Genomic DNA, 14,936 nt, shown 5'->3' with positions numbered 1-14,936 from the left:
GTAAGATGTAAGTTTGTAGAATTATTTTAAAATATATTTGGAAACTGATTTAATATAGAATTCTGCGCTTGGTTGGCAAGCACCTATGCATAATGTATCCAAAAATAGGTAGACCTGAAGATAAATAATACAAATTATGTTACCCATAGAAAGATAATGATTTCTGTTCTATTTTCACAATAGTGAATCTAACATATGCTTTGAGAGAGATAAATAATTTGCAGGGTAAATAAAAGATAATTATTTTAAAATATATATCAGACAACAACTATAATCCATCATGTAAATATGTACTAGAGATTTGAATTAGGTAAGTACTTACTGCTATATAACAAACTCTTGCTTTTTCTACCAACATCCAGTTTTTCTCCAGATCAAGATGTTTTTCCTTTTTATAACAATTGGCAGCAGCAAGATTAGCTATGAGGGACCTAAAACAACCAAAGAATAAGCAAGTAATATTATAGTCAAACTTAGCATATGTTTCAATAGATAATTACCAATATTTTTTGCAAAGTTTAAAATTTACATTTTAATTAATTCTTCAAAACTAATGTTATTGATTTTTAAATAAATATAAATAATAATTTTGTTTTGAGAACTTTCTGAGGCATCTATGATAATTTTTGTTCTAAACAACACCTGGTATTTTGAGAAAGAAATTGGCATTTAAGTTGCCTTTTGATAGTAAAATAGGACCTACTTTTTACACCTTAATAGTTCAAAATGCAGTTAAGAAATAAGGCTAACTCATTATATAAAAAGAAATCTATGCAACTAAAAACATTTTTTAAGTAGAAAAATATCTTTATAAAAATAAATATCAACATACTATAATTGTCTATTTAATCGAAGCCTTTAAAAGCCAAATATGGAATTAATTTCGTAAAAGACACTTATAAATGTAGACCATATTCGCTAAGAGGAATTAATTTGTAAACCATTACATTCTAAGGGCTGAAATCAATTAGAATTGTTTTCTATAGTTGAAAAGTCCCCTGACTGGTCCAATTTTAGAAATGGAATATCTAAGCAGGATACTGCATTTAAAATCTTGCTGCAGGTTGGGTGCAGTAGCTCAAAGCTGAAATCCCAGCTCTTTCAGAGGCCAAGGTGGGAGGATTGCTTGATGCCAGGAGTTTGAGGTCAGCCTGGGCAACACAGCCAGATCCCATCTCTACAAAATAATTTTAAAAATTAGCTGGGGGTAGTGGTGCACACTTATAGTCCTAGGGACTCAGGAAGCTGAGGTGGGAGGATTGCTTGAGCCCAGGAGTTTGAGGCTGCAATGAGCTATGATCATGCCACTGCACTCCAGCCTAGGCAACAAGGCAAAACCACATCTCTAAAAAATAAATAAATAAATAAATAAAATCCTGCTACAAGTGTCACTTGGCTTGTTTAATTAAAAATAAATACAATAATTATTTACATTATAAATAAAAATACTTTCCTTCCTCATACTGCTCCAGAATTTAAAAAATTACTTGCCAATTTTTCTCTTTTTCTAATTAAATTGTAACAGTTATAGCTTACAAAAAAAATCTTATCATTTCAGACTTTGGTAATATGTTCGATTACACTGTTAAAAAAAAAAACCTCAATTCTCTTCCAAAACGTATTTCCACTCATCCATCTGCCAATTTACTACTAAAGGATACATCTGTTTATGTTCAAGTAAATGAAGGAAAGAAAGAGTAATATGCATCAACATATTCATATACAAAATAACTATATTACAAACTTAAGAAAATTTAGACCTAATTTATAAAAATATTTTAGTAATTATGACTTTAGGAAAATTTTGACAAAATGGCTACCAAATAAAAGCAAACATTTCTGGTACCAGATACTAAACTCTATTCTGATAATAAAACTACTTTTTGATGGGAAACTACAGTTTCTCCAAAAGAAAAATAAAAGTATTCTTTTTTTTTTTTTTCCAGATGAAGTTTCGTTCTTGTTGCCCAGGCTAGAGAAGAGCAATGGCTCCGTCTTGGCTCACTGCAACCTCCGCCTCCGGGTTCAAGCAATTTCCTTGCCTCAGTCTCCCAAGTAGCTGGGATTACAAGTGCCCGCCATGATGCTCGGCTAATTTTTTTGTATTTTTAGTAGAGGTGGAGTTTCACCATGTTGGCCAGGCTGGTCTCAAACTCCTGGCCTCAAATGATCCACCCGCCTCGGCCTCCCAAAGTGCTGGGATTACAGGCATGAGCTGCCATGCCCGACCAGAAAAATATGAGTATTCTTATTATCCCAACGTATTTGATTCTGACTTTGAAGAGGAAGAACCTGGATCAAGAAAGATACTGCATTACCCAAACACTTCAATTTCTGAAATTTTTTGTTTTGTTTTTTGTTTTTTAGACAGGGGCTCACTCTTTTGCCCAGACTGAAGTGCAGTGGGCAGCACGACCCCAGTCCACTGCAGCCTCAACCTCCTGGGCTCAAGCAATCCTTCCACCTCAGCCTCCCAAGCAGCGGGGACCACAGGTACATGCCACCATCCCCAGCTAATTTTTGTATTTTTTGTAGAGATGGAGTTTCGCCATGTTGGCCAGGCTGGCCTTAAACTCCTGAGCTCGAGTGATCAGCCTACTTCGGTCTCCTAAAGTGTTAGGATTACAAGGTGTGACCACCACACCCGGCCAATTTCTGAGTTTTTGATAGTGGCAGCAAAGGTTACTGGACCTATCCAAAACAATTGATCCAACTGTATTAGCTTCCAGAATTTAGATAATGATTTAGATACTGAAGATTTCTCCCCAATTTTTGAGTCCCATATCATCTCAACAATATCACTATAACCATAAAATTAGTATAAAAGTTAAGTTTTTGACATCCAGAAGATCTAATATTATCATAACTGTTCTCTCTCTCTCTTTGGTTTTGAGACAGAATCTTGCTCTGTTGCCCAGGCTGGAGCGCAATAGCACAATCTCGGCTCACTGCAACCTCCACCTCCTAGGTTCAAGCAATTCTCCTACTTTCGTCTCCCGAGTAGCTGGGATTACAGGTGCACACCTGGCTAATTTTTACATTTTTAGTAGAGACGGAGTTTCACCATGTTGGCCAGGCTGGTCTCGAACTCCTGACCTCAGGTGATCCACCTGACTCGGCCTCCCAAAGTGCTGGGATTACAGGCGTGAGCCACTGCACCCAACCATAACTGTTCTTTAGGACAGCAATTTAGCATACTAAAACAATTTAGTAATTTTACTGTAGCCTAAGTGATATCAGAAGAAAATCTGACCTACTTCTCACTAATGGGAAAACTTTGCACCTACAGATTAAGGCTGGTCTTGGGAAAACTAAGGGCAAAGGTCTAAACAAACATATTTCAACATTTTTAGTTGTTTTTTTTTAAAATCCCTGAATCCCATATTTCAATGTTTACTGTAATCTTAAAACCATAAAGTTCTCCTGTATATAAAAAACAAAATTAAAGGAAAGATCTGAAAATGCCTTTCATACCCTAATAATTTTTGAATATTGTATTTTGGTTATTTAGTAAATACTGTGCTTATTGATCCCCAGTCTCTAGAATAGTCCATTCCTTAATATACCTCTGCTGAAGGTCAAGTAGTGAGCAATAAAGTGGGTAAATAGAAGAAATGGAGCAAGGTCGTGGTGGAGAGGGGGAAGAAAATAAAGGAGGATGAAAAGGGAAAAAAAGAAAGGAAGAGAAGATGGGAAAAGAAAGGAGATAGGGAATGGAGGAGGACAGACTACATATTTCCAACTATAAGTAATGCAAAATTTCTAGTGAATCACTATTTAAAAAGAGGTCATCTTTGATTATCCCAACAATATAATAGCTAGGGCAGTTATTTTGTTTTTCCCTTGCAAAGGGGAAAAAAGCCTGTGCTGATATGGTAATAACGTTAGCAGTGCATGAATACACTGAAGGAGTATCTCCATGTGGGTACAAAAGAACAACCAACCAATATATGGAGGGGCCTGAGAGAGATATTTCAAGTTCATATTAAGAATACTTTTCTAATAAGTAAGGGTGTATAGAAATATACTTGGTTGTTTTGTTAGTGGTATACTACCCACGACTGAGTTTATTCAATATGAATGAATTACTATTTGCCAGAAATGGTTTAGATGACCATTTAGATGACTAAGTCTTACGAGCCTGAATGTAATGTTGTATTTTATATACATAAAATACACACACACACTCTCTCTCTGTCTCTCTGTCTCTCTCTCTCGTATTCCAACCTCAGGATATGGTGAAAAGAACATTGTTTCTAATTCAAGTTTTGCAACAAATTAGCTACAAGGTGTTGAGCAAGCTACAAGGCATTGAGCAAGCTATCAGCCTTTTCTGATTCTAATTATAAAAAGTAGAGACTGGACTAAATAACCTCAAACTTTTATTCCATTATGCCTCATGAATTCAACTGCATGTTTAACAAAAGTAAATTTAAAAACAATACAGGAAAACTGATATAAGGAATAAGCATTTATCAAACATTAAAAGGAATTATAAAGTCAAAATTCCAAATTCACATTGGAATTCATATTTTACCAGTGTTAAAATAGCCAATTAGTATAGTGGTTCCCTTGGAATTACACTGACCTGTTGTCACCAGTGATGCATGCAGCACAAGTTCCTGTTGGCTGCTCATTCTGCTCGTAGTAATGAGCATCCACATGGGCTTCAGCAGCTTTTCTCTTCAGGATCTCCCCAAATTTATCTATCCCAATGCATCCAAAAAATGTTGCTGCTTTGTGTGGCTGTTGAATCATCCACTGTAAAACAGGAACATAAATAATTTAATGGGGCAAAAAAATGGTACACATAGTTTAATATTCTGCCACAGATAGTGATGTGACAAGAATGCTTTGTGAGAAACTGTAGCTGTTATGAATGGGATTTCAATTCTGTGCTATCACTTACGATTAAAAAAACTTAATATAACAACCATGTAATATCTTATACTGCTTTGGGGAGAGAAATAAAGTACATAAAGTTGTTAAGGACTCAGCAGCTAAAATCATACAGACCTTAAGACAAATGCTGGCCTGATATAGGAAAATAATAGTGGGTCCCAATATAAGAAGTCTAGCATTGTCATAAAAAGAGCAGAATCCATCTTGATTGAAGACTCTCTGGGTTCAAATCTTGCTTCTGCCACTTACTAGCTGCATGAGTTAGAGCATGTTAGAGCATATCTCTTAACATTTCTCATTTCACTCATGTTTAAAGTGGAGATATAATTACAAATACATCTCATAAGGTCGTTGAGGACTAATTGAAATGATGTAAATTAATGTACTTGCATTGCTGAGCATGGTACCCAGCACATAGTCAACAACATATATTAGCTGTGGCTGTTACTATGATTGTCATACTTATTGTAGTAATTCATATATAAATTAAGCTAAAACATGCTCATATCTAAAAAAATTCTTTTAAAAATTCAGAAATAGTGTTACAGTTCTAGTTACAAATATCTCATTTTTTCATTGAAGTAATTATTATAAGCTTTAATGGATTTCTTGTAAGATGCATATGTTTCACAGATTTGAACTTTTTACCTTTTATAATTAGCTCAAATCCCTGAGGGTTCTAATATTCTATAGTGATTCTATAGGTAACACCTGTTTAGTTTCAAAGACTTACAGGTAGCAAAATAACCTACAAATAATCTACATACAAAGTCAAAAGATATCAAAATAGATTTTGATAAAATCTGTTCTCAAATATTTGGAATAGAAAAGAAATACATGCATATTTGAGAGGTAAAAGGATGAGGAGAGGAAAAAGTAACAAAGACAGAACTGTAAGAATGAGACATAGTAACAGCTTAATGACCAGCAATCCCACTTCTACAGACTCATCCACAATATAAAACAACACATATATAAGTATTGAGATGTTATTTGTAATGGCAAAATGTTGGAAATAAACTAGAAGTCCACCTGTAGAAGATCAGTCGATTAAATTATGATATATCCACACAATGGAATACCACACAGCCATTCAAAAATCCCAGCAAAACAACACAAAAAAAGGAAAAGCTCTGTGGAACACTCCTTCTATACAAAGTAATTTCCAGGATATTTTGTTAACTTCAAAAAAAAATCAAGTCTCAAAGGTAAAAAGCTTTGTTTAAAAAATAAAACTTAATAATATATATTATTTTCAAATATGGGGGACAGCTTCAGGACATTGGATTTAGCAATGATTTCATAAATATGGAACAAAAGCACAGGCAACAAAAGCAAAAATAGATAAATGTGATTATATCAAGCTTAACTTCTGCATGGCAAAGGAGGCAATCAACAGAGTGAAAAGGCAACTTATTTCCAAACCATATATCCAATGAAAGGTTAATATCCAGAATATATAACAAACTTCTAAATGAACAATAAAAATACAAATAACATGATCTTAAAATGGGCAAAGGACTTGAATAGACATTTCTCCAAAAATGATATATAAATGGCCAATAAGCACAAGAAAAGATGTTCAACATCAGTAATCATCAGGGAAATCAAAACCACAATGAGATATCACTTCACACTGATCAGGATGGTTACTACCGAAAACACAGAAAACAAAAAATGCTGGCAAAATGTGGAGAAGTGAATGAACCCTTGTGCAGTGTTGGTGGAAATGTAACATGGTACAGCCACTACTAAAATGGTATGGAAGTTCCTGAAAGAAATATTAAAAATTAAATTAACATATAATCAAGCAACCTCACTTCTGGGTATACAGTCAAAAGAATTCAAAGCAGGATCTCAAAGATATATTTGCATGTCCATGTTCACTGCAGCAATATTCATGATAGCCAAGAAGTACAAGCAACCCAGACATCTATCAACAATTAAAGGATAAAGAAACAAAAGAAGGAAATCCTGTCACATGCTACAACATAGATGAACATCAAGAACTTGCTAAGTTATATAAGGTCTGTCACAAAAAAGACACATATTGTATGATTCCATTCATAGGAAGTATCTGAAGTAGTCAAAATCATAGAAACATAAGTAGAATGTTGGTTGCCAAGGACGTCAGGGAGGGAAGTCAGAGAATTAAGAGTTTAATGGGTACAGAGTTTCAGTGTTGCAAGATGAAAAATTTCTAGAGGTTGACTATGTAACAACATGCGTATACTAATTGGTACATTTAAAAATGGTTAAGATGGTAGAGTTAATGTTATGGTTTTTATTACATAAAAGAGAATGTGTGTGTGTGTGTGTGTGTGTGTGTGTGTGTGTGTGTGTGTGTATATTCTTGCCTCGAACTCCTGAATTCAACAGATCCTCCCAGCTCAGTCTTCTGAGTAGTTGGGACTATAGGTGCAAGCCACCTCACTCAACCATATATATTCTTTTAGTATAGATACTATACTATATACATATATTAGAATGTATATATAATTTTGTGTTTGCTAATTTTATAAAAAGAAACACAGAAAGAATAAACTAGAAATGAAAAATGCTTTTCTATGAGAGTGAGTGGGAAAGGAGTAGAGGAATAGGAATAGAAGAGTTCTCTGAATATAGCATTCCATACAAATTTGACTTCTGAAACATGTTAAAATTTTGCATTTTCAAATAATAAAATTTAATTTTAATTTCAAATTCCATTAGAAGAAAAACAAATTATGAAGTTGAGTATAACAAGAATGAAAAATCAAAGAAGGTATCAAATTGTAACATAAGCACATAGAAAAAATAATGCAAATAATTTTTCAGTATGCTCTTATGACAATACAGTCTTAATGGAATAATTATAAGGAACAAAAACAACAAATAAATCAAACTTTATTTAGTAGGTTTATTGTTGGTTATGTTATTGGTGAAACTATTTTGTGCGTATTGTAGGATAGAGCAAATGAATATAAAGTTGATGCTGTTGGGAACTAGGTTTGCTGAACAGGATAAGGAAAACACAAACATGGAATGGGGAAAGGGAAGAAGGTTCTAAGCAAAAAATCTGAGGGATGCTATCTTAACCATTATCAATTAGCATTATCAATAAAGCCATAAACCTTACGATGTGATGCAATGGGAAATACACAGTGTCACTTACGTACTATTATTGCCTAAAATCATGAGATTAAGTCCACAAGGTGGCACATATTACAATCAACTGGGTTGGACTCTTGAAGAAAATGCCTTAACCAAAAAGGTGGGAGGAAAGTATATTAAAGAAATAGTACTAATACATGTAATGTGTGATTCTTATTGGATCCTGGACTGAGAATAAAATTAAACAGCTATCAAGGACACTACCAGAATAACTGTGACATCTGGAATCTTGATCACACATCAGAAAACAGTATCAATGCTTAATTTCTTGAATAAGGAATAAATACTTCAGAATGGTTCTGAGGAAAATACACACACATACATTTATTTAAAGAGAGAACACAAATGTGTTGAAATGTTAACAATTGGTGGATCAATGTGAAAGGTATAGAAAAGTTCATTTTACTATTCTGTAAGTTAGAAAATGTTCAAAATTAAAAGGTGGGACAAACATACTGTAGCTAAATCATTCCTTTAAAGAATAACAATAATTTAAACTTAATTTATTCCATTTTGGATATTATCACTCCATTTATCAAAATGAGTAAATAACATGAAGCAGTTAATATCATAAAATGTCTCAGTATAAATGCCTAACTTAAAATACTTTATTCTACAATTAGTGAAAGTATAAATTTAACAGAGAATTTCTATTGTTATTAAATTTAGTGAAAGTATAAATTTAGCAGAAAATTTCTGTGTTATTCTATAACTTACTTTTATTTATCTATAAGGCATGATTAAATGATCAACCATGTCTACTATATATAGCAAAATAAATAAAACCCAGAGCCAATAGCAACTTTTACTATGATTACTTAAATAATTTGTCATCAAAATAATAGCAAACTTTGTTCAGTGAAAATAAAGTCATTATTATATAATTTAGCCTAGTTATAATCAGAGAGTCTACATGTTCAAACTACAGTCTGAAATAAGAGCTATATCAACTCACTGTCAGGCTTAAACCTGATTTACTAACTACTCCATAATCAGGATTTAAATGAATTGAAATATTTCCACTACAAATAAATATTATTTGAACCTGCAAGGCAAAAATTGATAAACAGTAGAAATATTCAGCAACTTTGCTATCCTTTTACTATCGAATATTTCAACATGGGAAACTGCCTGACATTCTATTTCTGACATTCAGATATTGACAAAATGTGAGAACTTTGCTTTTGATCAGTGATTTCCACTCAAAAGTCATTCTAAAACCAGAGTTTAACAAGCCTAAAAATTCAGTTTTTTTACAGCCATTAAAAAAAAAAGCCACGTTAACTGCTTCAAAGCACTTAATAATCTCAGTAAAGATGTTATAATTGAGAATGAAATAGATTTTTAAAAATCAGTTTAGGAAAATTTAACAAGTAATTTGCAAAGATTTCTGTTAAAATTTTAGTACATCTGTAAGCATCTAAAACACAATGTTTCACCAACATCCAACTAATCTATTTCCTATCATTTTGATACTCAATCAACAAACATTTAATGCATGTCTGCCAGGGAATAAAAAGATAAAAATGATGATGTTCCTAATACAAAGTCACAACTACTAGATTTTGATTCTCCAGGATGGAGATTCAACCTTGTTTATAACCTTTGATTATGCTCCTTCTTTTAGCTAAAATAAACTGCCTACCTTCCCTTGGTTCACATATGTACAGTATACCTTAAAAACTTTAACTTCTGCTCTGGCCATGAGTGAGTAGCAGGCTCTAGAATTACTGTTGTGCTGTAAACCAGAAAACCAAAAGGAAACACCTACAGAATTTTCAGACATTGAATAACAGGCATGGTAGGACTGTGATCTCTGATAGGAAAGAAACAAGGTGTGCCCTGACATCATGCAGGTACTCTGCCAGGAGGCAAGTTCCACACCATGGAGAGGGAGAAAGAAGGCAAATAGAGCCTGGCATTTTCACTAAAATGAGGAGAAAGAGATGTGTTCAAGGAGAGCCAGGAGACTAGAAATTGTGAAAAAGATTTTCAGAGAAGAATGAGTTGAAATCTACAGAGTAACCCTTGAGGCTATGGCTAGATACCAACCTGTGCATGTTTAAGGAATATATGTAAAATCATAAGGAATCCACATAAATGCTCTAGAATTAAAAGTAAGTCAATCAAGGTCTCAGACTTTAAGATCAATATATAAAAATCTAATGTATTTCTATAAATTTTCAAAGAAGAGTTGAAAATTAAAATTAAGAAAACAATATTTACAATACCACCAAAATTGAAACATGTAGGAACACATTTAACCAAATATGTGCAAGACATATATGTAGAACACTACAAAAGACTGCTGAGGAAAAAAAAACAACTTATATAAACGAAGAGCTATATTATGTACATGGATTTGAAAACTCAATATTCTTAAGACATTAATTCTCCCCAAATTGATTCATAAGTTCAATGCAATCCCAACCAAACTCTCAATGGATTTTTGAGGATATCAAAAAGTTGATTCTATAATCAATATTAAAGGAAAAGGAACTAGAATAGCTAAAGGTCAGGAGGTATGTGGGTGTGAGAAAAACTAACACTGCTAAACGTCAATTTCTTCAAATATAAAATGTGGATAACATAACCTATGATCTTTTAAGGATGTTGTAAGAATTAGAAATTGACAAACAAGGCCGTGTGCAGTGGCTCACGCCTGTAATCCCGACACTTTGGGAAGCCGAGGCAGGCAGATCACCTGAGGTTGGGAGTTCAAGACCAGCCAAACCAACATGGAAAAACTCCATCTCTAAAAATACAAAAAATTAACCAGGCATAGTGGCGCATGCCTGTAATCCCAGCTACTCAGGAGGCTGAGGTAAGGAGAATCGCTTGAACCCAGGAGGTGGAGGTTGCAGTGGGCCGAGATTGCGCCATTGCATTCCAGCCTGGGCAATAAGAGTGGAACTCCTCTCAAAAAAAAAGAAAAAAGAAAAAAAAGAAATAAAAAGAAATTGACTAACAACCTACGCAGTTTAGTACAGTATAGGGTTTCTATTATTATATTTGTATCACCTTTATACAAAGAAGGAAAGGGCTCTTGTTATACTTTAAGTAATTATACCTAACTGGAGGAATAGGAAAACCACGGCCACTATTGGTAACTTCAAATAAATACTTCAATTAGTTTAACTTAAACAGCAATAGTAAAAAAGCAGCATATTACTGGAAAATACCCATGAGAGAGATCAACTGCAGTGGAGGGGATCAGGAAAGGCCTCCAAAGACAGGTAGCAGTATCAATTGGTCTTTGAAGGATGGGTATGATCTTCCAAAATGGTTACAAACTAGAAAGAAAAAAGAGTCATACAGCATATAGCACATGCCTCCTTTCCTATGTTAGAAATTTTATCATGGTGCCCCTAGGATGAAAGAAATTCCATTTATTAAATAATTCGTTTCAGCCAAAAGTGTTTATTTCCTAATGATTTTCTACCTGTTAGGCACTGCAAAATTCTCAAATCTTGGAATCAGACTGGTAACCATCACCCTCATTTGTTTCACACTGATTTGCTTTTTATCACAGAAACCGTCAAAGATTCAGTTTCGCACAGTATAATGCCACCAAAAGGAATGTAGTAATCTAATGTTAAAACTGAAATACCAGGCCAGGCGCAGTGGCTCACGCCTGTAATCCCAGCACTTTGGAAGGCTGAGGCAGGCGGATCACGAGGTCAGGAGTTCAAGAACAGCCTGACCAACATGGTGAAACACCGTCTCTACTAAAAATGCAATAATTACCCAGGCGTGGTGGCACATGCCTGTAATCCCAGCTACTCAGGAGGCTGAGGCAGGAGAATCGCTTGAACTCAGGAGGTGGAGGCTGCAGTGAGCCAAGATCCCGCCACTGCGCTACAGCCTGGGTGACACAGCAAGTCTCCATCTCAAAAAAAAAAAAACTGAAATATCTGGAGCTAGTGGTTCATGCTGTGTCTGATAGACGTCACTGTGTTTACCTTGAAATTTTGAAATACCCTGAAGACTCTCTGTGGGTTTGCTACAGCACCCCAAGGGGACTTAGTGCACAGATTGGGAAACAAGAATATAATATTAACAAAAACAATGAAAAACAGAAATAAAAGACTATTAGGAGTATACCGACAAAGCAACTATGTGGGAAGGAAGAGACTAATGGGAAAGGTAGATGTAGGCCAGATCAGTAAATACCACTTCAAGAAATTTAGGCAACATCCTGAGGGTAGAAAGCAACACATGAAGGTTTTCGAGCAAAGAGTATGATGATAAGAGATGACAGTTCACTAAGGTAAGGAGCCAGAAGGAAAAAATTTACAACTGAATTTAAATAAGGCCTAAATAAATGGCATATTAAACTTCATAACAAGAGTCTTTAACAACATATGGAAAGATTTCTATTAATATTAACTTTACCTTCAAGGAAGATTTCCTTTTTATTACCTAAATGCAATATTTAGGACAATATAACTGACAATGATGCCCAAGAGGCAGTCACTTCTGAAATAATGCCATATGCTTTAATTCAATTCATAATAGAATGATGAAGAATGACACCTAGGTACTAAAAGAGTTGCAAGATAAGCCAAAGATATGAAATTTTATACAGAAAACTCAATGAGGCATCTCAGAAAAACTGTAAAGCACAACTAAAAGAAATTAAATGTCAAAACTGAGAAACAGCAACAAGCAGACTGCAAAGGATGATGAGGAAATCAAAACTGAAATAGATTGATAAGGAAAATAGCATATATCACATAACTTATAGGATAGATTCTCAGATGATTACAATACCACCAAGTGAGACAGGGCAAAACACAAGATTTTCATAAATATTAAGAATCTATTCTAACTGAATAACTAGTATGTTATGCTTCTTTCCTTAAAAAACTGCTCCATTGCCCCTGCCAGCAAGCATCCTATTAATAAAAATCAATTTCTAATAATCCTGTTCTTTCCCTGAAATAGTTCTATTGTTATTTTTGTTAGTAAATATCTGTTAACATTCTCAGAACAGATTCGGGGAATATTAGGCCTAGTAGAAAAAATAAACTTTAGACTCAGATATATAAGTTCATCCAGCCATGTGATGGTAAACAAGCTACTATTTCAGAGACTATGTTTCTTGTGGAATTATTGTGATGATTGAATAGGATAATGTAAGCAAAGTGTTCAAGGCAGTGCCTATTACAGAGTACAGCTGACGATGACAACAGTGCCCTGAGACTGTGATAAAATGCAGAATTTTTAGTGTATATTCATTCAATTCATTCCACCAATATTTGTTGATCACCTATTATTTGTTGGACATTATTGTAATTAATAATGGATAAAGAAGTCTTCTCTATCTCTTTTGTAGGCTTCTTTCCTTCTCCCCATTCCTTAGCATTTCTCAGGCCTGGATTCCCAGGTTACCTACAATTCTTACCGTATATACTTTCTCTGGATATGATCTAATCTACTCTCATGGTTTCAATTATCATCTATATGCTGAGACCCCCTCATTTTTAGCTTATACTTGTTTTCAAATGACTGCTCTGAATATCCAAATACCTACTCAACCCTATTTTGCCTATTAAATTGACACACTTTTACTCCTGCCTCTATTAACACCACTTTAGTACAGGCCACCATCTACTCTCAATTAGACTACTATAAAAGTCTCTTTTAAAAAAATTTATTGAGATATATTCATATAACCATACAATTTGCCACTTTAAAATATACAATTCAGTTGTTTCCTGTTTATTCACATAGCTGTGCAACCATCACATTTTCATTATCTCAAAAAGAAACCTCTACCCATTGGATGTCATTTCCCATTCTCTCTGTCACTCCATCCTCCCAACCATGCAACCATTTGCAAAAGCTTCTTAGATCATCTCCCTGCCTTTAGTTCTGTTTTTCTCCAATCCACTGCATTTTGAGTGCTCTTCCTAAAATGTCCTTCAATCGTTACCCAAGTATCTTAAGCAAGTTCAACATAAACAACTTTATGATTGAACCATTAACTTCCTCTCCAAGTTAATCCTAAGCATTAACACTCTTGAATGCAATGTTCCAGTACACTGAATACTTCATTCTGTTTCTGTTTGTTCTTTCTAGCTTCCTACTTAGGTTTCAGGTTTCACTTACTGAGACAATGTTGTCCTAAATTCTGTTCTATATACCCATTGTTATTTATTTTTTATTTTTTTGAGACGGAGTCTTGCTCTGTCACCCAGGCTGGAGAGCAGTGGTGCGATCTTGACTCACCGCAAACCTCTGCCTTCCAGGTTCGAGCAATTCTCCTACCCCAGCCTCCTGAGTAGCTGGGATTACAGGTGCACGCCACCATGCCCAGCTAATATTTGCATTTTTAATAGAGGTGGGGTTCCACCATGTTGGCCAGGCTGGTCTTGAACTCCTGACCTCAAGTGATCCATCCACCTCGGCCTCCCAAAGTGCTGGGATTACAGGTGTGAGCAACCGTGCCCAGCCTATATGCCTGCATTTTATGTTGCCGCAACAAACTGTATCATTCCTATCATAGAATTAATTCCACTTAATTGTAATTTGCTGTTCAAGACTGTTTTCTTGGCTTTTTTAAAAGAGTTGTAGGGTGTGTTTCCAAATCTAGAAGAGTGCCTGCTACATTCTATGCAATTAAATAATTGTCAAATAAGTGAACAGGAAAGCCAGGATTGTATCTTCTTAAAACTTACAATTTAAGGGTACATAAAGCTTACATACAAGATATGTTACTATTTATTTTAAGAGATGATATATATATAATAGGAGTTGTTGCAGAACATGCAAGTAGCACCTTAGTCTTTGCAGAGTGGCCAAAGAAGATTTCCTAAGATAAATATGAGAAACTGTGTCCAAGCTGACACTTAACTATGATGGAGATCAGGACACAC

General features: G+C 34.5%; 1 protein-coding gene across 15 annotated transcripts in view, besides 1 other annotated feature; it reads right to left on the bottom strand.

The window, feature by feature from the left end:
* Positions 1 to 14,936, bottom strand: part of ADK (adenosine kinase) — a 558,070-nt gene that overhangs the window by 310,389 nt on the left and 232,745 nt on the right. For all 15 annotated transcript variants that reach the window (NM_006721.4, NM_001369123.1, NM_001202450.2 and 12 more), the window contains 2 exons: positions 4,589 to 4,761; positions 323 to 431 (listed from right to left, as the gene is read on the bottom strand). In NM_006721.4, coding sequence (NP_006712.2) covers positions 323 to 431; positions 4,589 to 4,761 — 282 coding nt within the window. The remainder of the gene's footprint in view (positions 1 to 322; positions 432 to 4,588; positions 4,762 to 14,936) is intronic.
* Positions 14,214 to 14,293: an enhancer, noted in NCBI's record as "active region_3595". NCBI's record gives its function as "activates an Ori minimal core promoter by ATAC-STARR-seq in GM12878 lymphoblastoid cells {active_cell/tissue: GM12878}" and the evidence as "EXISTENCE:reporter gene assay evidence [ECO:0000049][PMID:35858748]".

The sequence above is a fragment of the Homo sapiens genome, chromosome 10, assembly GCF_000001405.40.
Source record: "Homo sapiens chromosome 10, GRCh38.p14 Primary Assembly".
Classification (NCBI taxonomy): Eukaryota; Metazoa; Chordata; class Mammalia; order Primates; family Hominidae; genus Homo; species Homo sapiens.
Note: the sequence above shows the minus strand (reverse complement) of the source record. Positions and strands in the feature narration are given on the sequence as shown.